The 26283-nt window shown below is 33.1% G+C and overlaps 1 protein-coding gene across 8 annotated transcripts in view; it reads right to left on the bottom strand.

The window, feature by feature from the left end:
• The window catches only part of GRIK2 (glutamate ionotropic receptor kainate type subunit 2), a 676376-nt gene that overhangs the window by 358984 nt on the left and 291109 nt on the right, over positions 1 to 26283 (bottom strand). For all 8 annotated transcript variants that reach the window (XM_047418681.1, NM_021956.5, XM_047418682.1 and 5 more), the window contains one exon: positions 24747 to 24920. In XM_047418681.1, the coding sequence (XP_047274637.1) occupies positions 24747 to 24920 (174 nt within the window). The remainder of the gene's footprint in view (positions 1 to 24746; positions 24921 to 26283) is intronic.

Raw genomic sequence — 26283 nt, 5'->3', positions numbered from 1 at the left:
AAGGTGTTTTTCCCTTGTGAACTTCCATGGAATCTTAATGCGACACTCATCAAGGGAGAAGTGGCTATTTTAGGGTATCCACACAGCCACTTCAGCAAGGTTTCATCCACTGAATAACAACTTCAATGCTACTAATACTGCAGATAGGTGCCAAAGTCAACCAAAATAAAAATAATCTGAGTAAAACAAGATAGCTCTTCATAAAAATTATCTTAAGGCTTATAAACCAGATATGAACATACTTATTTAAATAACTTTTCCCCTTTTTATCTCAATTTCCCTCACTTTTTCCACAGAAAATATAATAATATTTCCACCCTGGTGCTTCAACAAAGCATGGTGCTGAGCATGAGGACGTCTTGTGACCCCAGGTGAAGACAGCCTACGCGGAAAGGAAGGAAACTGTAGGATTGAAACAGTGGATGAGCTACAGGAGTGGCTATGAACAACCCTCAGTGATAATACTCTCTTGCTTACAGCCAGCCCCAAATAAACAAACCTTTAGTTATTATAAAGTGTTTTGTTTTTATCTTTAGATTAAATATGACAAAAATATTTACAAAAGAGAGAATAGAGGTTTCAAAGTCCCACCACTCTTGATTCAAACTAAAATTTCTGCAACTGAAAACATTTTACATATATTTAACGCTAGATGTTTCCAAAATACTTGCATAAACATGGTCACATTTGATCTTCACAATCACCTTTTGAGGTATACTTCAAAGCCCATTTGACTGATGAGAACACAGAAGTTCAACTCACCATTCCAAAGGCCCACAGCCAGTAAGCAGCAAAGCCACAACTAGAATGCAGGCTTCTGACTGCCAATCCCCTGTTCTTCCATCTCACCTTTACTGCCTTACACTCTACAACTGCCTTGTCATCACAGGAGATGACATTTACAATGCATTCTATTTGAAAAGAACTCCACAATGAGGAACATCAGAGGGCTCTTCTTGTACTTAAAACATAGTAAATGTAATTCTGATCAAATCAACCTAAGACCAAGTATCTCTAACAGTGGCATTGATCAATGTTTTGTAGGAGTATTTGCCTCTTATGATATAATTCCCAGAGTTAATAATAAACTCAGAACATCCTTGAATTGACACTGTCAGAAAGCTATTTTCCATCTAGACCAACTGCGTATTTCAGCAGCACGGCAAACCCCTATGAGAGAAAGGCTGAACGTTAATGGCAAGAATTCTCAGGCTTCTATCTCATAGAAATGGTAGATGATTCTGTGCCATCCTAGGTCTATGCCAAACCCTGAAGCTGAGAGATAAGAGGTTAGCCAGAAAATAGAAACATATGATTTGAACCCTGCAATCCAGATACTGCTATAGCCATAAACTTAAATACCTACCCCGCGCAAAGCCCAGTTATTTGGCTGGGAGGATGACACCTATCTATTTCTTTAATGGAAGATTCTTTTCCTTCCATTTTAAAGCATTTTTTTTCTATATTAACTAGAGAATAGCTGCTTAAATCCTTTTATAAAACAAAGTAAAGGATAACAGGTAAGTATGTTGGTAAATAGACAAACATGCATATATATGACAAATGTGAAACTTCTCTGCCTTTTATCTAATGAGATTCATTTAGTTTTAAATGTATTAGGTATCTTTGTAATTTTACTTTTCTAATAGACAGAGTAATAAAGTAGTGAGAATGCTCAATTTGGTGACTATGAGGGTAAAGAAGCACTCTAAAATGTTAGAGGTGGGTTTTAGTTTTCCTGGACTGCCTTAACAAATTACTACAAACTAGGATGGCTTAAAACACAGACATTTATTTTCTCAGGTCTGGAGGCAAGAAGTCCAAACTAAGGTTCCTGCAGGGCCACGGTCTATCTGTTTTATATCTTTCTCATAGTTTCTGGTGTTTTGCCAGCTACTACTCATTGGCTTGCAGTGAAAATGGAATCTCTGCCTCCATTTTACCTTGTGTTCTCCCTGTTTGTCTGTTCTTCACAGGGTGCTCTCCTTGTGTGTGTGCCTGTGTTCCAATTTCCCTCTTCTGTTTTAAAAATTATTTTTAAATTATCGTTAATATTTATTTTTAAATTTTAAATTGACTAACTATGGTGGTCAATATATTTATGGGGTACAAAGTAATGTAATAATATATACAAGGAAATCAATTATATTGGATTAGGGCCGACCCTAATGAGCTGATCTTGACATGATTACATCTTCAAAGACCCTATTTCCAATTGAAATCACATTCATAGGTACCTGGGGGTAAGGATTTCAACATATCTTTGTTGGTGACATAATTCAACCTATAGCAGAGGAAAAACTGGAAAACTGTTAGACAAGGTTTGAATAGCCATTTGAAAATATATGTCAAAAATTAAAATATGTAGAAATTTTGATCAAGTGTACCCTTGCTAAGAATCTATCCTAAGAAAATATAAATACTCTTATGGAGATTCATATATATAAAAACAGATTCTTCTTAAAATTGTTTATTAAGTAACGGAAGACAATCAACATATTTATCAGTAAATTAGCATATGCCCATATATTGTAGTAATTTTAAAAGAAGGTAAATTTTAAAGAGTGACAATGGGCATGAAATTAAATTTATGTAAAAATGTATGTGTAGATGGATTTACTCACTAAAAATTATGAAAAAATATATATCAAACCACTAACAGAAGTATCTTTGAAGAGTTATATTATCATCATCCAACTTTATATATTTTATTAAAATAATAATGTAGTATCACAAAAAGCAACTAAGATAATTTTAAATATATAAAGTAAGAAATGTTGAATAATGCTGATTTCCATTTCTTTAAACAATGGAATTCTTCAGAGAAGTTTTTATTCTCTTTTAAACATTCTGTATCTCAAGTTGAGCTCTATATTGTAGAGTTTATGGTGTAGTCTATTAAGGAATTTAATAGTGTTAAATACGGAATAAAAGATTCCATCTACTAAGAAAAATTCCACAGCTGCTATCCAGTTGTATTTTGGGACTTGTTTATTTTTTCATTCATTTATTTTGTCTGTAACATTTATTTACTGTTGTATCCCCAATGCCCAGAAAAGCAATTGGGAACCATATATTATTTTTGCTTAAGGAGTGAATGAATGCAATTTTAACTAATTAACAAGGGAAGAGGTAACACTTGATTTACTTGCCTTTGTATCAGCAGTACCAAACACAGTGCTTGGCATTCAATGAACATTCACTGTAACCCGTTATTGAGCTTTCATCTATATTACTGATCAATGATAACGAAAAATAACAATGAATTCTCATCTAGAACTACTGAGAGATCTTGCAATCTTTCTGATTTTTTTGGTGAGAATCAAAGACTATACATCAAATGCTAAATTATGATCTATTAATTCAGGTAAAGTAAGTTGAGCACCTTTCCAGAGCTCACTGAGTATGAGTGCCTTGTCACTCTTTTCCCGCTTGCAGAATTTTACTTTCTGGGGGACTATTATCACAATTCATATATATATATATATATATACACACATATATACACACACACACACACACATACACATATATACATATATATACACATATATACATATATACACACATATATATTTTCACAATTCTATTACATATATAAAAGAATTTATATATATATTTATATATTATATATAATATATATAAAAGAATTGTGATAATGTATATAAAAGAATATATTTATATATGTATACTGCACACATAAGTCATATGGATATTCTTAACTCAGTTATTAAACCTATGTACCTTGCTGACTGACTGTATTATTTTCCATACTTGCTTATAAGTTTCTTCCCCTATTTTGTTGAACATTGCTGGCATGCCTCATTGAAATGCAATAACTATCTTACATTTATGAATTTGTTTCTTAACAGCATTATGAGTCAAATTAGAATATGTGCTTATTCATTTGCAAACATCTATAAGCCCACACTGCCCCACAATCAGGATATATGTTTTGAGATTTGATTTAGTAAGGTTTTTGTTGTTGCTTTTTAAATTCAGAGCCTATGATGCAGCCACAGAATCCATCTTCATTCTCTTACCTAATAACACTTATACACTTATAGGACATGGCCTATTAGGGTGAACATATTAACTAAGAAAATTAAGAAAGAAAATCCATATCTTCTTAGCAACAACTTCACTGAAAGGCCCAAAATACATATATTTGATGACTATGAAGAAGCTCTGCTGAAACTGCTACTAGGAACATAACTGAAGGACAGCCTCTAGCATCTGCACCTTTGCATACACCACTGTGTTCAGCAGGCTGCTCTTCAGATAGGCTGCTTCCAGCCAGTGATTGAGCTTGGCAGCCTTGCTAGAACAAGACCATTCCTGTACAAAATTCCTCTAATGAAAAGCTGTGGCTCTAGGAATCCCCATTGGCCTGGCTAAGAATTTTGGCATAGTTGTCTGAGACTTTTTCTATCCAATCCTGTCTTCCCTCTCTCCTTTTACAGGTTTCAGACCTATAGCACGGTCTGAAAACTGTCTATTCTAACCTCCTGCCTGTTTATCTTTCACAGGCATATCTGCCAATAAATCTGTTGTGCATCTAATCTCATCTTGTCATTTGTTTCATGAAGGAGAAAAACAGATACAATATTTGATGATATATACACCTATTATATACTCATAATATAAAATAAATTTTAAAAAGCCATCAATGTTTGCATAGTATAGATACACATTTGTAAATATACAACAATATGAGAAAGAAAATTTGAATTTGAATAACAAATATGTCAACAGACATATATCGGGTGTTATATTTTTAGACTGTGATGGCACCTACTTGATTTAATTTTATTATGCATTGGTTAATATTCTCTAGCATATTCAAAAAGGTTTAATTTTTTTAAACTATCATGTATATAGCAATGTATTTGGTAGAACAAAGACAAGAAAATTCAGCTTTCACTATGAGATCTGAAACAAAACATGATAAATCTGTCTCTGAGTGATGTCCTCATGATGTTCATCTTTGAACTAATAACAAAAATCAAAGCCTGAAGCACATTCACTGATTTGTAGCTGAGTCATTTATGGGGCAATACAGAGCTGCTAAAGATCACAGAAGCATATTCTGTCCAGTTTTTGTGCATACATTTTGATAAGGACAAAATATTTAATACAGTAGCAACAAGAAGATTAAAATCTGCATGTCTCCTTACATATTTTTTAACATTGCTGATTTGTTTTTTTATTGTTGCACTTCTTAAAGAATTTATTTTAAACAGCTAAAAAAGAAACAATGCAGTTTAAAGAACTGTATGTTCAACATTTTAAAGTATCAAAACTGATAGAAAAATTAATTGGTGTGCAAAATATTCTTATCACACTTAACTTTGTCATTTGATGACAATTATAAATGATTGCTGTTTTACATTGATAGCATATTAAGACAGCAGATTCGGTTGCAGTAACCGTCACTATTTTAATTTATTTGATGCATTTGACCAAACTGCATGTTTCCTTTAATTTCAGGAAAAATTCCACCACATGTACATGTACATTTTCCATAGAGCTATTCCTACCTCTCTCCAAAGTAACACTTGTATCTTACAAAAAGATACAGTCATTAAAAGAAAATGTTCTAATAACCAATGACCAGTGAAGTTCAATACCCAGTTGTAAGGAGAGTTCATATGCATTTCGTCTAATGATGTGAGGATAAGTAATGTAGTATACCTGCATCTTAGCAATAAATATGGTAAACTTTTGGTATTTTTGTAGAACTTTATACATGTTTCACAGGAAAAAGGAACTACCAAATAGGCTACAGTTAAAAAAAAGAAGAAGAAGAAGAAGGATAACAAAGCTGAATTAAGGTGCATTACTTTACTAAGCAAGCAAGACAAGGCTACATTTCTCAAGAAAAGAAAAAATAGTTCAGGTTATGTTATACACATTAATGCCAAGCTCCTGCTTCCAAATTAAAAACCAAGTTAAAAGAAAAGTAATCTAAACTTAAAAATTTATGACATGGTTTCTCAGAAGGAGATAAAATTCTACAAAAATCTATATTACATTTTAACATTCATAAATATATAAATATAAATATATGTAATATAATATATAAATATAAATATATGTAATATAATATATAAATATATAATATAAATATATATGAAAGTTAGAAATGTGGATATAGATACATTTTATATATAAAAAATAAAGGCCAATTTATAATTATTATCAATTTTGGCTGTTGAGAGAAACTTAATAGTTTAAAAATGAAGATGATAGAACTCAATGTTTCCTTGTTTAGTTATAATAAAACACTTGATATCTTTGAAGTGTAAAGAAATTATGTCTGATAAAATATTAGAGGCTCATATTTAAAAATTCCACATTTGTTTCATGGAAAGAACCTCCTTTACTATTACTATTTCTGTTACATGGGTTTTTTTCGGGGGGTGGGGAGAAGGGAGGAGGCTACATATTCTGAAAAAAGACTAGCCCACAAAATAATGGCGAGATTCAATTCTATTTAAATTGTTAAACAAATAAGTCTAAATAACTTTCTAAGAATTATTATTGATTTAAAAACATAATGAATAATAGTATGGTACACATTGGAGAGTGTATAAATTAGTTCAGCAATTTTAGAAGACAATTTAGAATTGCTTAATAAAATTTAATTGTATCTTTTAATTTTTGCATGCATCTTTTAATTTTAACAAATCCCCTATCCTCCCAGCCCAGTGACTCAAATGACCCTATTCCACCTAATTTTCACCCCCTTGGAGAACTTCAATCCACATTTTCACTGTCCAGCACCTCACACATTCCCTTACTTCCATTCTAACTTCTATGATTTGGTATTATAATTATTTGTTTATAAATACTGGCAACTCTTTTAGGTCTTATTCTCCATCATGGTCTCTTAGAGAAATTAAACTCATTAAATTTAACTATTTGCTGACTTAACTGTCCTTCTGGGTTTAGTAGGATGCAGTTAACTGAAATCACTTAACATTTATGGCCCCTAATCTCAAGTGGGCCATAAACCCAGAAAATGTTCCATATTTCCCCAGAATATTCACTTTCCCACTTTCCAAAAAGATAATTTTGCTCCTATTGCCCCTTCTTAAACCTTCTAAATTTCTCTTCCAATTCAATTCCATTTCTGCTGGTATACTCACTTCATTTTTCACTAATAAAATGGAGAAAATGAGTCAAGAACTACTCTGCTGTCCTGCCCAAATTCATCCACCCACCTGCATCTGAATTTCCACACTCTGTCTTCTTTTTTTTTTTATAATGCAATAAACAATCCCTGCTTCTATCTAAGACTAACTCCCTCTAAGTGTCCCTTCCTTAGATTTCAGCTTTGCAAGTATCTTCACTCTTTCCTGCAACATTATTTTTTCCTTCTCTACTGGAATATTTATACCTATATAAACATGCCTTAATTCAATGTTTAAAAAAAATTTATGTGACTTTATGTATCTCTTCAGGTTCATTTCTATGGTATCCTAAATTGAAACCCCATTGAAATAACTAGTTAGACTTGATACCTCTTCTCTCTCACCTCACATTCCCTCAATACAGTCCAGCTTAGCTTTTGTCCCCAACATTCCAAGCAGACAATAGTATTGAGGTCGCTAACAATGCTTTCGTGTCAAATCAAAATGATTAGTTCTTCAAGCTTACCAAAATTAAGCAGTTCTCATAGCTTGATTTGACACAATTGACCATGTCCTTCTCAAAACACTTTCTTCTCTAGTCTTCCTGAAATTAGACTCTTTTTGTTTTTCTTCTACCTTACTGCACATCTTCAATCACCTTTGCTTCTCTTTCTCTTCTTGACTTCTAAGATCACTCTTTGGCACTCCTCTATTCACACTATACCCTTGGATAATCTTAACCAGTTTCTTAGCTGTAAATATTATCTATGTGCTAATGACTCACAAATTTATTCTACAATCCTTTCACCTGAGTTTCAAACTCGTAAAACATTACCCATCTCAAAATTATTCCTTCCCAAAATAATTCCTTCCTTCACTCAACAAATATTGATTGAATGCCTATTAATGTGCCAAATACTGTTAGAGGCTCAAATAATACACTAGTAAACAAAACTGCATATTCCTGCTTGGATATCTAATAGGCAATTCAAATATAATGCATCAAAAGGATACCCTTGATTTTTCTCATCACAAATTATGAAAGAAAGGCAACCTATCAGTGTGCTGGGTTACCTTTTCTTTCCCTCAGATGCACCTTGCTTGTTTCCATCTCAAGAAGTTTGCAATTGTTCCTTCTGCCTAGGATGCTTTTCTGATCAATATTTGTATGGCTACCTATTTCTTATCCTTTAGGACTTACTCCACATATATTTTTCTCCCATAACCCTAGCTAAAGGGCCTTCCCCACACCTAAATCACTCTCCATCTTCTTATCCTAATTTGTTTTCTTTCATTGTTTATATTTTCTATGTACCACATAGAAGGTGAACTCCATCTAAGTCACCACTATAGCTCTATTCCAAAAACAGTGCTTGAGACATAGCAAATTTTAAATAAATGTTAAATTAACTTAAGAAAACATTAAGCAAGCTGTGTATACCATAAGATCCTACTTTTAATGAAATATGTACAAGGGCACAGAAAATTTATTATAAATAATTTTCCAAAGTAATCAAAGCTAACATTTGGCCAGTTAAACAGTTAAGGCATATATACTTCAAAATTTCTATGTTAATGTACAACATCTAACTGTAAATGTATTCCTAAATGTATTAATGTAGAGCCAAGACCTTTTTCATGGGTCTGCTGATTGAATTTCCTCTTCTGTTTTGCATAAGCTCCAAACATAATGGATTATCCATGATTTTCAACTTGTTTCTTTTAAGTGAAACAAGAATAAAGAGATACTTGCAAAGTACCTTTATCAATTTTTTTCATGCAGTCATTTGAGTTTTCATAGAAACAATGTTATGCTTGCACTTTTATTTAACTGTTTTATGTAATGTTTAATTGAATTATGAATTAGTAGGTACAACAAGAATAAACTGGTTATAGAAAAATAAGAATACCAAACCACGGAGTCAAAATACAGAAACATGATAGTAGCCTCCTGATGGTGAGTTTTCTCACTTCTGTGGATGTCAATCAGTATATTTTAACCAGTGGATACAGAGCTTTGGTTACTCTTACAAATCGGTTAGGGGAAGGTGGGTTAAGAGAACTTCTACTGGTCCTTAAAATGATAATTGTCATTTTCTTTGCTTGGTATGTTAATAAATGGAAAATTGTAATTGTCTTCCACATATTTTTATAGCTTACAAATTTGCTACAGTACATAATATCTATGTAATAGTAAATGTTCAAATTATGATGTTTTAAAAGTGAGTAATATCTATATTTACCTTGAGATTTTGATTGTTTCAAATTTTAGTTAAAATAACACTTAAGTGAGACTTTCAAATCAAGAAAACTGTGCATAATTTTTGTCAGTTAAATTCATGTGCACCTGCCTTAGGGGCTAGAGAAGTTCATATTTTAAAGACATCTCACAGTCTTTAATTTATCACTTATTCACTTCCCTTTTCCTTTTGATTTAGTAAAAAAATTGGAAATAGGAATAAATATTTGAAGGCTGCGAATGAAATCTGAGAAGTTTATTTGATAGACAACATTAGCAAGAGTAATATTTTGCTTGAAAGCCGGAACCAGAATTCAAATTAACATCTCTTCTCCCAAGGCATTATTCGTAAGACCCCTGACACAGGTACTACGAAGGCACAGGCTGTTCCGGCATGACTACTGAGAAACAAGGGCACTAAAGTATGCAGTAATTCTTTGACATTCAACACTACTTAAATTCTCTCAGCTTCTGGAGTCACTTAGTCTAGGTGGCCAAATAGGTTGACTAAGTCTTTTTCTCTGAAGGATTGTAAACATATGCTCCCAAAAGTCTGAAATTTTTTTCTCCATTTCTGAAACAAACAGAAAACTGAGTCATTATAGAAATGAGAAACAATTTTTCAGCTTCCAGCTTTTTGTTGGACCTCTCTTCCTTTAAGGTATTACCATCATCTCAAATTTTCCTGTTTGCAATCAATACCATCTCCTTTTCAAGCTCCCTGCTTTTGCAATAGCCCCACTTCGGTGAAAAGCACTAGAGTCTTCCTAGTCACCTAAGCTGCAAAGCTCTAAGGCCTCTTTTGTCTCCGTACTATCCTTCCCTATCTCAAAAAGATCTTCCCATTCAATCATTCCTTTGAGCCCCCTGGGCTCTATACCAGTCCTTATTAACTCAGGCTTGAATTGCAGGAAGCCTGCTACCTGCTGGAGTGTGTCTTATGCATTCACACAGAGCCACCAGATATGCCTTCCTGGAAGCAGGATAGGGCAGGAAAAGCACAAGTTATCAAGTTAGAAGGGACTGATCTTAAACGCTCAGCCTTAACCTTACTAATCAAATGTCCTTGAGCAACATGCTAAATATATTGGCACCTCAGTCCCATCATCTGTAAGTGAGAAATAATGCTCATCCTACAGCATTTTTGTGAGACTTAGAGTTAGTGTAAGGCAAACATATCTTTATATAATCACCACAAATTGCATGATATTTAGCAAGGCATGGTAAATGATATTACTTTTATTGCACTCTCCTGTTCTAACATCTTTAATGGCTTTCCATTATCTTCTTCCTAAATGGCCTTCCTACTCTCATCTATTTTTATCAAAATGCTATTTTATGTTTATATTTATACTTGAGATTCAGTTTGAGCCCTATCTTCCCCCAAATTCCTTTTCCAATAACATCAAACTGTCAAATTTTTATAACGTTTATAGCAGGGGTGTCCTGTACTTAGTGATGCTAAAATAATAACAATAACAATTATTATTATTATTATTAATTTAGTTCTATGTGAAAAGATAGAAATATCAAATTCTCTTTGTATAGGGATTTTTGTTTGTTTGTTTGTTTTGTGAGACAGAGTCTCTCTCTGTCACTGAGGCTGGAGTGCAGTTGCATGATCACGGCTCACTGCAGCTTCGACCTCTCAGGATCAAGTGATCTTCCCACCTCAGACTGCCAAAGAGCTGGGACTACATGCGTGTGAAACTATGCCAGGCTAATTTTTTCCATTTTGTTTGTAGAAACGGAGTCTCAGTATGTTGTCTATGCTGGTCGTGAACTCCTGAGATCAAGCAGTCCTCTCACCTTGGCCTCCCAAAGTGCTGGGATTACAGGCAGGAGCCACCAAGCCCGGCTTTGGTGTAGGTTTTCATATTGTGAATGGATTCATTTAGTGACTTTTTTCTTTTAAATAGATTAAAGTCAACTTTGCACCTTCTCTCTGGTAGCCATGTATATTTGGCTTTACTGAGACTACTCTCTCCTCTGTTTCTTAAATTGCAACTATATACATGGATTTATAGACACTGCTCTGTCCTTCACTCCTTAGTAGTACCCAGGGCTTGAAAGTTGCTAGAAAGAAAGTGGAAAAATTTACAAAGAATCAAAGAAACTCCTAGGAGAAAAACAATCAAGACCACAATCCAGGGTACCTTTGAGGGACTGAGGATGCTCAAGTGGAGTTAGGTGAGAGAACACATTCTCAGCTGAAAGTAAGTACAGTGTAGACAAGGCCTGATAGTCTCAGAGAAGAGCTGGATCTGGAAATAGCTTTTGACTGATATGGGGGTCCTAACTCAGCCACTATGGGCAGACTCAGAGGTGCCTTTTGTTGCATAAAGAACCAGATAACTAAACAGCTGGAATAGTGGGAGTCCAGGTCAATTTGAGAGTAAATTTGAGCTCTAGTACTAGTGATGAGTGACCAGACAGGATGTGAGGAGACAATTGGCAAAAATGGCCTTCAACACTCAAGGCAATGGAAGAAAGGATAAACAGAGATAACCATTTGACTGCCATATTTTCAGCAGAAATACCAGGACCCCAGGTCTGGCAGTAACTCTAGCACTGTGGTAGCACTTTCTGGAGTACTTCAAACCTGGCAGCAGCTATGAAATTCTCTAGCTTGAATAGAGTACATATGTGCTGAGCATCTTACAATGAAACCTGTGGTTCCATCAACCAGTCTGCTCAACCTGATCAAGTTTCTGAGTTTCTTTGACTTATCACAGGAATGTAGAATTTTATCCAAGTCCAGTGAGGTAACTACAAAGGGAGTGAACCATTCTTCATGTTAATTGGGCACATAACATTCTCAAGTTGTGTCTTTATGTAAAGTTATAGTTATATCCTAAACAAAAAGTAGATAAATGCTCATCTAAATGCACTGTTTTCTATATACATTTCTCACTGCATGCCAGCATATTTTTTCCAATGATTTAAGGCTACGTTTCACTTGTCTTATTAAACTGATAATTCTTCAAGTGCAAACATCATGTAATCTATCTATTTATTTATATTTTTCTTATCCTTCACATGATATAATACCATACATTGCATAGAGTAGATGTTCAGTAAATATTTGGAGAATGAATGAATGAATAGCAATACATAGGAGGTTTTTTATGAAGGATCGATTTGGTACCATTTCAACATCTGTGTCTGTTTACTAACTTCACTTTCCCCTTCTGGTTCAATTTGGTCACAGGGCATTCTGAAGATTAATGAATAAAATATGTATGAGTTCTTTTAGAAAGGCAAATGAAAGATCAACATAATATTTCCTCTGCATAATAAAGCAGGAGAATTCCTAATATCCGTTAGGCAAATTCACCCTAAAACTCTTCATTTCATTTTTGTCTGAAACATTCTTCTGATTTATTAATGTGGATTTAAAAAGTATTGGCCAAGCATATCTTGGAAATTAGTGCATCAGAGTAGATTCTTGACCATTTCTTAGGCCTTTATATCACAAAACTGCATAGGCTACATTTTTTAAAATTTGCCTTTCTAATGTAAATATAATTACTCAGATAGTGTCATGAAAAAAAAGCATCAACAATTTGATATTAAACTAGCTATGTCATGTTCATTCATTTAGTTAATCTCACCCAGAGCATTAAAATAAGCAACTACCTACTCTTAAATTTAAAAGTAAGTAAATATTTACACAGTTGCATTCTTATTCAGTTGTCGCTTTTGTATAAACAGGGATCAAAAGATCCTTTGAGAATGATGAACTGTACTCAGAACATAGTAGCATCTGCACTAAAGTGAAGAAAGGGCATTTATCTTGAAACAAATGGATATCACTTATGGAGGATCAACTACTGGCCAGACACTGTCTTCAAGTGGTGCCAGAGTTATGTATTCAATCTTTAGAGTGACACTGTGATGTAGGCTGGTTTCATCGAATAGCTAAGGCAACTGAGGCTCAGAAATATTAAACTGTTAGCAGAAGTTTACAAAGGAAGGAATAAGCAGACTGTTTTCAAGAGTTAGGTGATTTAGATTACAAAACTCTTGCTCTCAGATGGAAATAGAATATATTTAATAGTCTTCTACTACAGGCATGAAAAACCTAACCAAAAATCCATCCTTTAATTCTGTGTCCAACAAGCCATCTTTTTAACTTAAAAACGAAATGATCTGACATTGAGAAAAAATGATACATATCATTTTCATAAACTTCTACCTAGACTTAAATATCTGTTAAATAGGGATATGTTATTGTAATAGCACATTTTAAATCATTGTAATTGGGCTCATTTTAAAAAGAAGACTACTGGATTCAAGTTTTAAGCAGATTCTGTATGAAAGCTTCTTATGATTGTATCCAACACACACACACACACACACACACACACACACACACACACACGTACACCCTAAGTATCTACTACAGTGATTTTGCATACAACAGATGATAATTAATGCTGAAATAATGAATCAGTTAATTAAACCACAAGCACTCTGTCAAATTCTATGTTATAAGTCACAGGGCCTTTAAGAGGAGGCAATAATATAACTCATAATTATAAAAAGCCAGGTAGGTTTTCATCATCTTATATGTGAATTCATTATCCCTTTTGATCCTTATGACAACCCACTAAAATTTATTATTTCTATTTGACGAGTGAGGCTCAAAGAGATTAGGTAACTTGCCTAAAGTAATAGCATTAGAGAGGTTTGGGAATGAGATTCAGATATGGCTTGTGACCTCTATGTATGAGTTTAGTCTGTAAGGAAAGAAATAACAGGGTTTAGTAGACCAACTAGCTACCACCTTACCCAAAACTGGTGTGAAATTCTATAAGGTTAAAAATGAAGCAAAAAATCTGGCTGCACATCTAAAGTAATTTTTTTTTCCTGGTTTCTAATTCATCATGCTCAACTTTTTCCTTTAGATGCTTAAGGATTCTTTTATATTTGCTTCTGACAATAGTTTAGGGATCTTTCTTTCTATATATAACCTGCCTATTCTATGTTTCTGAATCTATAAAATGAAGATGATAACTGCCCCATGATGTCTTGAGTTAATAAGGCAGAAACAGCAGTAAAATGCAGTAAGCATTAAATACAATTCACAATTTAGGTTATTTATATTAGATGTCAAATACAAATAGTAACATTCGCTGGTAGCTAGACTCAGAATTTGTATAAAGTCATTGTTTGGGTCACTATTCCTAGGGCCACTGTATACATCCTAACATCCTTAAAATTCATATTCTTTATATATGCATATACTCTTATTTCTAATAACAGAGTTGAGTACTTTTTTGGATCAATTAGGCAGGAGAAATTCTACACTGGTGGGATCCAGAGGTAGGTAATTTAAAACAAAAGAAATGGAAATATCTACTGAGGTATATATTTATATTAAAACATCAGAGGTAGGATTATTGTGCATTATATATAATATAAATTTTATTATATGCCAAGTTCTATATTTATGATAGTTTTTAGAATCTCTATTTTTAAATAAAATTCCTCTAAAATTGAACATGACTAAAAAAAGCTGCAATGTGTTCATTATAAATCACAGCAGGGAAAATTGTTAAATTTCTTACAGACATATTGATTCTAAAATTGATGCAATCTACAGTTACGTGTGTCATTTGTTTTTTAATATTTTAATAGTTTATAGCTAATATTTAATAACAAAAATATACCAAAATCTGATACACACAATTGATCCCCTACTTAACGATGGTGCAGCTTGTGATTTTTTTTATTTTATGATGTTGCAAAAGCCATATGCAAAAAGTAGAAATTGTACTTCAAGTACCCATACAACAATTCTGTGTTTCACTTTCAGTACAGCATTCAATAAATTCCATTAGAGATTCAACAATTTGTTTTAAAATAGGCTTTGTGTTAAATGATTTTGTCCAAATGTAGGTAAGTAATACTTACTTAATGTAAGTATTCTGAACATGTTTAAGGTAGGTGAGGCTAAGCTATCATGTTAGGTAGGTTAGGTGTATTAAGTGCATTTCTGACTTATGATATTTTCAACTTATGATGGGTTTATAAACATGCAATCCTGTCATAAGTCAAAGAGCATTTGCATATACTGAGTGTACCAAGTCCATGTATTATAAATGCTTATCCTATTAATACTGTGACCAGTGACACTGTCTTTCTAGTAAATAGATATAGATATGTATAAATAGTATAGTTTAGTACATAGATAAATATAGGTATGAATATGATTAAATAGATAAATATGAATATTGCTTACTATTCACAAAAGTGCGTGCTATGGTTTGACAGTGCCCCCTTCCAAAATTCATGTTGAAACTTAATCCCCAATAAAACAGAATTAAAAGGTGTGGCTTTTGAGAGATGATTAAGTCATCATCACTGCATTAAGCACTCATGAAAGAGATTAGCAACATTATAAAAGAGCTCCAGGCTGAAAGGACCACTCTCTTGCCCTTTGGTTTCTCCCACCATGTGAGGACACAGTGTTCCTCCCCTCTGGAGAATATAAGAGGGTGCCGTCTTGGAAGCAGACAGTTGCTTTCACCAGACACCAATCCTGCCAATACCTTGATCTGGGCTTTTTGGCCACCAGAATTGTGAGATAAATTTCTGTTTTTTATTAATTATCTAGTCTTAGGTATTCTGTCAGAGCAGCACAAACGTATTAAGATATTACCTAAGATAATATGATAATATGAATTTAGATATAAATAAGAATTATATATTTTTATATATTTCCCTCTTATTTTATATTATTTATATTTATATAAAATCATATATAAATGTAAGTATTCAACTAAATGCAAATTTTAAAGACTGGGATGAGGCCAAGGTATTTTTTTATATGGCATTGGTTTTAAATTTTTGGGGGGAGGAGCCAAAAACAAATTCCAAAGATTATTCATAAAACTGAAATAATATGGGAAAACCTATAGCTTTGATAATTACCACCAGTCTACTCCATCTTAGTTCATCCCAAATACAACATATAGTTTAGTTTGGTGTATTTTTACCCTGAATGCAAACTAGTAGCCAGAAAACATATTCTATACATTTTAAAAATAGATCCACTCTTCCTTCTATGATGAGAGTGCACTATAGTTACAGTAATAAACTTCCTTAGCCAGAACTTTGCTGTAGGATATTATGAATATTTGAATAATAAGATTTCTTATTTGTAGGCCTCAATTCCATCTCTTACTCTCTCTTCTTTAATAATTTCAACCAGTATTTGATGCTTTTTAATTATTTTGATTTTCTATGTTAAATGTAGAATATTTATAATTATCTTTTAATTAATTAGCGTGAAAAAACATTATCCCAGATTTATATCCCACTGTTTCCCAATCCACTCCTTTAACTTACAGCATTGAACATTATGTCAAACTTGCTGTTAACTTCATTCTCAGGTTAGAATCTGAGTGCCGACCCCAGTGAAATAATCCATTCTCTATTTTCTTGACCATGTTGTATTTCCTTTACTTTGTGCCCTGTACTTGCTTTCTCAAGTTCAATGCCTTGTTACCTCAATAACCAGCTTGGCATTTTTGTTTTTCAAGGTCACATTCATTGCTTTTATTAATTCTACCTTGATGCCACAGTCCAGATGCAGATGTGGAGTCTTAAATCTCAGAATGTTGTCAGTTCTCAGACTCTGCAAAGTTGGACTTCATGCTCTTGTCAGGGCATTGGGCATCACCTCTTCTGGGTGTCCTTGACATTGACTGTCCTTGAGGGGCCCTCCTTCCTGAACGTCACAAATTTCTGTCTAGCTAGACTTCCTCATATCATTGGTGATTCGTCATATCCACGTAAAACCATATAGCTGTTGAAGGAGTTCAGGATATGCCACCCCAAAATATGCCACTTGTTGGATCATATACATATACATATGATATAATCATATCACATGATATCTGTACATGATCATATACATATATATGATATAGTCACATATATATGCATATGATCCTACAAGTGCCATATTAGATATATATAATTTTTTATTTTTATATAATGTTATATGTATATATCTATCTGCTCACAATTTGCCACCCCTAAAAGCCTAAATCACTTTTCCTTTGTATTGGCACTTTTCTAAAAAGATATCTTTCTTTGTTAAGAGGCTAATAAGTCCACGTTCTAACCACCCCTTGAGCTATTCCCATCTGAGTTCTTCAGTGTGAGTAGGTGCTGCATACAACAATGAACTTCAGTTATTTTTTCATGTTAGTCTGTCTTCTGTCAGAGGTCCCAGACAATGAACAAACCTAAGACAGGTAAAGTTTTTTTTTTTTCTCCCCTACATTTTTAAATATAAAATAAGAGACTGAAGAAAATTGTGTGCAGAAATGTATTTATCCTTTATAAGTTGGTGTCACATAATATTATATCAATGCTTTGAAGATAAATTTTGCTCTTCAGGGTGAAGGGGAAAAAATCTCTCTTGATTTACCCTTACTTTTCCCAAGTGAAAAGTTTGAAAATTGACCTATAAAAATAATATGACCATAAAGATAATGCTTCACTGCAACTGCCATTTTTCATGTAAAAAACAATTACTTAAAATAGAAATTCCATATCCATCAATTTTAGATGCTTAAATGCTGCTTATTTAATCTGTGGATGAGAAAAGGCAATTAGACGAAATGTTCTATGTTAATAAAACAATGGAGGTTTTTAGGTCATCTCAATTATTTGTATTTAGATTTAACTTGTAGCTTAGTGCATCTTAGAAGATTAATATGTACATAAAATAAAGAAATATAGTGCCATTCTGTTATTCACATTCCATGCTCCATGTCCTTTTACCATTCATTAAATCAAGCATATATAAATGTAACAAATGTTGTACTTATGACTTCATTACATACTCTGAAATATACAAGTATTTCTGCCATATTTTATTATATTATGGACCCCAAAATGTTTTTTCTGTGGTAACAACAAGAATAAGGCTAGTAGTTATAACATTTATGTTAATAAATTTTGTGAAATGTTACACATTTTTCGACAAAATACTAAGAAGTTATGTTAAATTCTTGGTAAATATATGTGTGTCTCTTGCTATCATAAATGATTACGGAAAACAGGAAATTTTAACAAGAATTTTCAGGAAGACAGGAAAGAAGATCCAAAAATACAAAATTAAGAAGCAATCAACATCACATTTTGAACATAATTGTTATATCAACAAAGATTGTGAAGTGATCAGAAAAACAGTTACTATCTTCTGATTTTATCAATTCCCTTAGTTATTTGATGAAATAGAGGTATTGTCTTGATTACCAAATCCTGAGTGCCTGGTATCAAATCCTGTGTGCTGCATACAATACACAGTATTAAAATTGATTTTTAAAAAGTTAATTCATCAATTCATTATGTTGCTACTCTTTATTCTTTTATTTTGGTGATTTAGTGCAATATAAGATGAAGCCAACTTTTTCAAAATGCTTCACCAATTTAAAAAATGTTGAGTTGGTTTGATCCATTACTTGCCAAAACCTTATATTTATATTCATTTCAAATGAATTAAAGAAAAACAGCTAAAATTAATTAAGACAAGCAAATAGCAGCAAAGGTGGGCTTGCAGTTGTTCTAGCAGTAAATGAAAAAGCCTGTCTGTTCTGTTCATACTTTATTTCTCTATGGTTCTATTTCCATTGCTTTTTTTTTTTTTTTTTTTTTTTTTTTTGAGACGGGGTGTTACGTTGGAGTTTAGCTGGGTGAACACTGTTCACTGCAGCCTCAACTTCCCAGGCTCAAGTGATCCTCCCACCTCAGCCTCCCACATAGCTGACTACAGGCCTGCCCCACCACACCCAGCTATACAAGTAAATCTTTATACAGTAACAAATGATTACTTGTGTCACCTTAGTGGATGAGCTAAATTCCTGCTGTAAGATGTATATACAAGATGCTCATTTTTATTTTAAGATACTCAAATAAAAAAGGAAATTATAAAGTCTGGGGTCTGTGGTCTGTTATTATAAAGAAATAACTGTTAGGGCTTTAGAATTAAAACACATAAAGACTCACCTCTCATAAACATTATCTCTTCCTTTGTAAAAAGAATGGGAACTACTCTTCTAACTTACTATACTTTCACTATTTAATCAAAAGTATTTCTAATGGCCGAGCGCAGTGGCTCATACCTATAAATAATCCCAGCACTTTGGGAGGCCAAGGTGGGTGGATCACTTGAGGTCAGGAGTTGGAGACCAGCCTGGCCAACATGGTGAAAACCCATCTTTAGCAAAAATACAAAAATTAGCCAGGCGTGGTGGTGTGCGCCTGTAATCCCAGCTACTCGGAGGCTGAGGCGCAAGAATCTCTGCAATCTGGGGAGGCAGAGGTTGCAGTGAGCAGAGACTGTCATTGCACTCCAGCCTGGGTGGCAGAGCGAGACTCTGTCTCAAAAAAAAAAAAAAGAAAAAAAAGTATTTCTAAGCTTCTGTCATTGAGACTAGCCTAATTACATCTTCTAAATGATTAGATATATTGATAATAAAGTACAAGAGGGCAAATAAAATGCTCTCCAACATATATTTGGGGAAATTAGAGGAACTAATGATTAGAACACAGATGTAATATGATTAAAATAAATTAACAAATGCATTTATTCAATCAGGCAGTCACTCTCTCATTATGAGCTCCTGTTTTACACCAGGCATTAAACTAGGTATAGGGACTTCAAAGATTACAATATCTACTTCTTGCTTCAAAAGAGCTAACAGTCTATTGAAAAAGTGATGTAAAAAGAAACTAAAGCACTAGAGTTAACTTTCAACATGGAGTTATACATAAAGTGCATAAATAAAGGACCACACATATAAAATATCTGGAGGACTCAGCACATTCAATCTAAAAGGTAACAGAAAACCTGAAAATTAGAGTATGAGTAGGAATATGCCAAACATTCAAAAAAAGGTAAGTGGTTTAAATAATGAAGTATCCTATGCTGGAATAGGTGATACATGATGAGTGACAACACATCAAAGGTGAGATGAGAGGGTGGCTTGGTGGAACAGGGAGCAAGCAAATATGAGGCTGGACAAATTGGAAAGAGCCAGACCATAGAAGGCTTTTTAGGCTTGGCAAATGAGCTCAAGTTACACCTAGTAAATGATGAGGAGCCATGAGCAAAGTTCTGAAAAAAATCATACTAGAAAGAAGGTGAATGTAGGAGAGAGATGTTAGGAGTAGGACTTCAGTGAGGGGATTATTAGGAAAGCCAGGGAATGATCATAACTAAGATAAAGTTCTGGGTTGAAAAGATGAATGTAGTTAAGAAAAATATTGATACAGTAAAATTGACAGTGCTTAATGATTTTTGAGGTGAAAGGAAATGGAGATAGCGGTTGGTGTCCAGGGTTTAAACTTCTAAAACAGTAATATCCCTATAGAAACCCAAATGATATAGTCTATCAATATGATTATTATTGATTTGTGTAATACATTTATATTATCAAGGAAATATGTGGTATTATCTATCAGCACAAGAAAAAAAATACTGATAATTAAATTAAGCTACTGAATGGATTACAGGTACATTGGTATTAATATGCATATGTATATTAGAACCACTGGGAAGGATTTCTGGGATATAGCTAGACTGTTTAAAATGTACTCTGAGGTGTTTGTCTTTACCTGAAATTGCTGTAAACTCAATAAATCAATAACAAGTATCACCATTGTCGGGCTCTGATTGGCACTGGTTCAAAAGTGAATTCTCATCCTATAGTAAATGTGCTACATAAAGGCAGACAATGTCTGGTCAGAGGACTGGGGAAGATGTTATCTGATTTTGCAATAAAGAACAGTAGTAACGCTCATTGAAAGGTATTTGCACACCTCTAGGAGCATGAAAAGATGGGAACACAATACAGAATGCAGAGTATGGAAAGAGTTTTACAATAAGGGGTTTATGTCTGGGAAGTTCAGAGCACTAACTGGATGGCATTGTGTGGGAATGGAGAAAAGTGGGATATCATATGTTAAAAGAAAACCCTCATGTGTAAAAGAAGAGTGTTGAGCTTTATTTCTTCCTCCTTAACTAGATCAGGCTTGGAAGTACTGTGTGAGTTGGTTCCTTGGTTGGGTTTATACCAAGTGAAACTAAAAATTTTACTGAGTTACTAACATTAACATCTTTAATATGATGACCCTAGACTGCAGAGAAAGAAACTACAATGGCAAGCGAAGTGGTTTTGTATTCAGTAGTCATTTAACTGATAAACAGTCATCTCAAAGGCCAATTAAAATCCTAACTCAACTAGAAAAACTCTTATGAATCCAATTTACTGTTTCCTTTTATAGCTCAAACATGAAGAAAGGATGTCAAAGTCTGAGCACTATGATCTTACACAATGGCAAATGATTATGATACTGATAATAATAGGTCTTGCTCCAAGCACTAGAAACTTTGCTGATAATCCCATTTCTTTATGGGACTATAGGGGATAAAAAGAAAAAGAGATACATAAACACTGAGATCTCATGAATTGACTGAAGGGAATGTTGCCAATGCCACAATGCCAGGCTATAATTCTTTTTTCTCTTTTTTCTAACTAGAATCCTCTTAATTTGCTGACTATATTCATGGTGGAAACAGCTTATTAATTTCTTTTCCTAAACATTTAATGACTTGTGAAAATGCTTACAATTTTAAATTGAAAAGAAAAAGAATACTTATGTAAGACATAAATATGCCCACATTTTAATACAGAACTCAATTGGTTTTATTTTAATAACCATATGCTATTTTATAATTAAGAATTAATGTTACATAATGAAAATATTTTATGTATTTTTTTAAAATTTTGGTACAATGTTATATGATGAAAGGATTTTAAAATATATTAATTTTCCAAAAGGGAAATTGTAAAAACAAAATCAATCTGCATCTATTTTGAAAGAAACCTTTATTTTAATGACAAACTTCATATCTACTTTATATTTAAGAACTATACCAAAGGAAAGAGAATTGCATGGAAAATTCTTCTAAATAACTCAGAATCCATGGTTTATATATAATGCCCAGGATTTTTAATAGACACATTTTTTCATCAGTCCATTTTCATTTTAACATTTTTCCCCTTCCAAGAAATCATCTGCCAGTTCAACAGGGAAAAGCAGAAGAGGAATAGACTCGTGCTAGAAAGAGAGAATGCAAATTTGTAATTCTCCTAATATCCTCTCTCTTTTTCCATATTGTAGAGGTTAATTCTCTCCAAGAGCTTCTACCTTGGAAATTAATACATCATTCTTTGTACTTATCTGTCTTTCAATAGTTTACATAAGTTGCCACAAATTAGGGATTACTTCATTTCGGGAGATGATGTGTAAAGTCACAGAGGGACTCACATAGCTATACAGAGTGTACCAAAGTAAAATTGAATAATTTTTATGATTCTGATACATGAAGGGGCACATTAGTCATTGGACTTATTTATCTGTGGAAGTAAATATATAAAAGTGTAAAATTGTGCTGATATCTACTGATTTACTTTTCTTAAAACCATTTAATAGTGCTATTGAAAATAAATAATAAGACATTCATCCTGAAATCAAAGAATTGTAAAGAAAGCTATTATAATATATAAATATTTTTATATAATATTTAAATATTTTTATATAATATATATTTTTATATAATAAATATTTTTATATATTATATAAAAATATTCACATGATCATAACAACAATTTAAAGGATAGCATACATTATAATATTAAAAAATCACATTGTCTTAAGTTTCAAAAGTTTGATTCACCATCTTTAAACTGGTAATAAAATATAACATTTATAATTTTTTCTAGTTTGCATTTTATTTTAAATCTGGCTCCACTTTGAAGGAAAATATTTTAATTTTTAAGTTATTTAGGTATTTTCCTCTCAATAAAAATTCTCAAACATAAGTTAAAACTAAACTACTAGAACTGTTCAACTATCTCTTTATGCAACGAAGTACAATTTCCCTATAGTGTTTCTTTTAAAACAAATTCATACGGATATATTTTGAAATTCTAGTAGGTGATTTTTCTCACAAACTGAAAACAAATGTATTTTTTGTTCCATCAGAAAGTTGATGCCTTTAGGCTAACCATTTCTTCTTCATAGTCTCTATGAAGGCACTCAATTTGTATTACAAAACCTTCTAAGGATAAAAAAATCAAATTTTCCTTTTATCCCTACAGTATCAAAAACAAGCTTTGAAGCTATTGAAGTAATTAATGGAAAAATTACAAGCATAATAGAAAAAGCTTTTCTACATACATGTAAGGATAGAGGATGTTTTTGTTTATAAATTCTCCATTTAGACTAATACTCATTAAAAGCAGATGGTAATTTCCTATGAAATGTAAATATCACCCCACTGCTAAGCTATTTCCTTAATTATAGTGATACTTTAGTCTGTAGAAAAATGATTTAATAAGAAAACATCAGGCATTTATAATTTTCAAAAATAACATGACACATACCTACCAAGTCTGACAAGGTAGACACTAGCCACATTTGGCTACTACAGAGTAAATATGACTGAAATGTGACTACTCTGAATTAATATGCATGATGTCAAATACATACCATCTTTCAAGGATTTAGTATAAAAAATATAAAATGTCTGAAGTCATAATTTTTATATTGATTACTTATTTAAAAATAATATTTTTACATAGTAGCTTAAACAAACACTGATTTTTACCTATCTTTTGGAGGACACAGTATAAGAAAACTTAAAATTATGTATGCCTTGCCATTAGATTTTTATTGTAAGCATTGGTATAAACAACTAAAGTTGTTTGGCATAAACAACTAAGTTATATAAGAATATACCCTTCTTTCATAGTTTATGCAATAGTGCCGCTTCTGGGTTTAAACTGGGACTTGAAAATGACAAATGTGATTATTGATTAGTCTTCAGCCTTAAAGAGTGAGTAAGCTCATGCGAGAATTTTGTGTGTTTTGTGTGACATAAGTCATTTATATAACACCAGATACCAGAAATCATCATGTTGAAGAGTATTCGTATATTGATAGGTAAGATCAGAAGGATAACTACCAGATGTATGTCTTCTTTCAGTCTCTCATTTCTCCCATGTAGGGCACTAATTAACTTTACAGAAATTCCTATGTTGTAGTACCCTGGTGATAGTTGTAATGCCTTTTGAGATACTTGGATGGAAGCATAAGCTTTTCATATAAAATTGATTTAAAAAAATTGTTAATACAAGTATTTGCATTGTAGCTCTGATATTTTGCTTTTAATGTCAAACAATTAAACTGAAGTTTATATGTATGCATATAAACCCAGAAGTTCATATGTATGCAATACTATTTAGAAACACACAAACTGATCTTTAAGTGGGTATTCATACCGTCATAAATCCATCCAGCAAACCTGAATCGGGTTTCGGAGGTGCCTGCAATCGTTCCATCGACCACTTTTCAATGATGGAGGAGACTTGGGTATTTTCTGTATTTAATATTCTGAACCCTGTCATGTTAACACCACTGTATCGGTAGGGCTCAACATCAAGAGCAAAGAGGTCCTGAAAGACAAATGTTATTGTGTTGTTATTATGGACAGAGTATCTTCACAGGCATGTATTACTGAAATAGTCACTTTTTTTGTTTTTTTTAGGTCACTTAACACCTTTGTGTCAAGTGACGTTAAACATCACAAATCACCAAGATTCAAATAGACTGTCCTCATGCTTTGGCATTGCAGAGATACATGCTCCGTATGTAAAAATCTATGTATATATTTTATTCTAAATCCGCCAGTGAAACAATGGGCTCTTCTACAACTCACATCTAAGATTTGCAATAGCTTTCTTCTCTCTGTTTAGGATAGCTTGCCCTTATTTTATGTGTTAATATTTTGCTTTAATTTTTTCTGTGTCCTGCTTCCTCGCCTGGTTATTGCTGTTTTTAATTTTTTTTTTGTCAGTGTTTCTTTGTTTGATTGTTGTTTTTAGAAAGCAAGTCACAAAATACAGCTTCTAACTAATGAAAACTGTATGAAAGGTGTGAAAAAAATGCTAAGGCCAAGACTAGCCTTTTTGGTTGCAGAAACAATACAGTTCCTTCATCTCATGTCTCACACCTAGGAACTTCACTATAAGTTTCCAATAAACACTTTATGCCTGTTGCCCTTTCTAGTCTGTATATAGTGAACTTTCTTGCTCTGCCCTTTAGTTGTCCCAGGAGATATGAGGCCAAAGCTATCATGGAAATGGATGCCACCATGAAAACATCCAGCATGTGGAGTTTTGCCCTCTTTCTAGTTGGCATAGCTAACCCTCGAACTTATGGACAATATTGAGAATCAAGGCAAGATTAATGCCATTGGTTCTGTGAACAGCTTGCCTCAGACTCATACAGCTACACAGGCTAGATAATAAGAATACAATTCAGTGGAAAGCAGCTGGCATTGGCCTGAGCTCTAGTCTGTGCTATGAAAAACATAGGAATCTTTAGGTTTTTATTTTTTAATGTTTACAATCTAGCCAAGGAGATAGGAAAGAGGTGAATAAATAAAGGATGGCAATATATGCCAAGTGGTAAAAGAGTAGAAATCATAAATGCAAAAGAAGTCAGAAGCAAGACAAGTTATTTTCAATTTGTATGGTCAAGAAAAACTTCACAGAGCAGATGGGATCTTAGCTGTGATGAGGCTCAGAACATGCTACCCCCAAATATGGTACTTGGCTATAGGAAATTGAGAAGACACAGAAGCAGGAAGGTCACTCTGTGACCTTATCCCACCTTTCTCCCCTGAAGTGGACCATAAAAGAATTCTCTGACCTACCCCCACAGAAAGGAGGTCATAAGACTCTCATTCCAGAGGGATCCAGCCCTATACCTGGAGGTCAAGAAGAATCTCAACAATTTGGCCTTGCTAAGTTTTCT

The sequence above is a fragment of the Homo sapiens genome, chromosome 6 (assembly GCF_000001405.40).
Source record: "Homo sapiens chromosome 6, GRCh38.p14 Primary Assembly".
NCBI classification, from domain to species: domain Eukaryota; kingdom Metazoa; phylum Chordata; class Mammalia; order Primates; family Hominidae; genus Homo; species Homo sapiens.
Note: the sequence above shows the minus strand (reverse complement) of the source record. Positions and strands in the feature narration are given on the sequence as shown.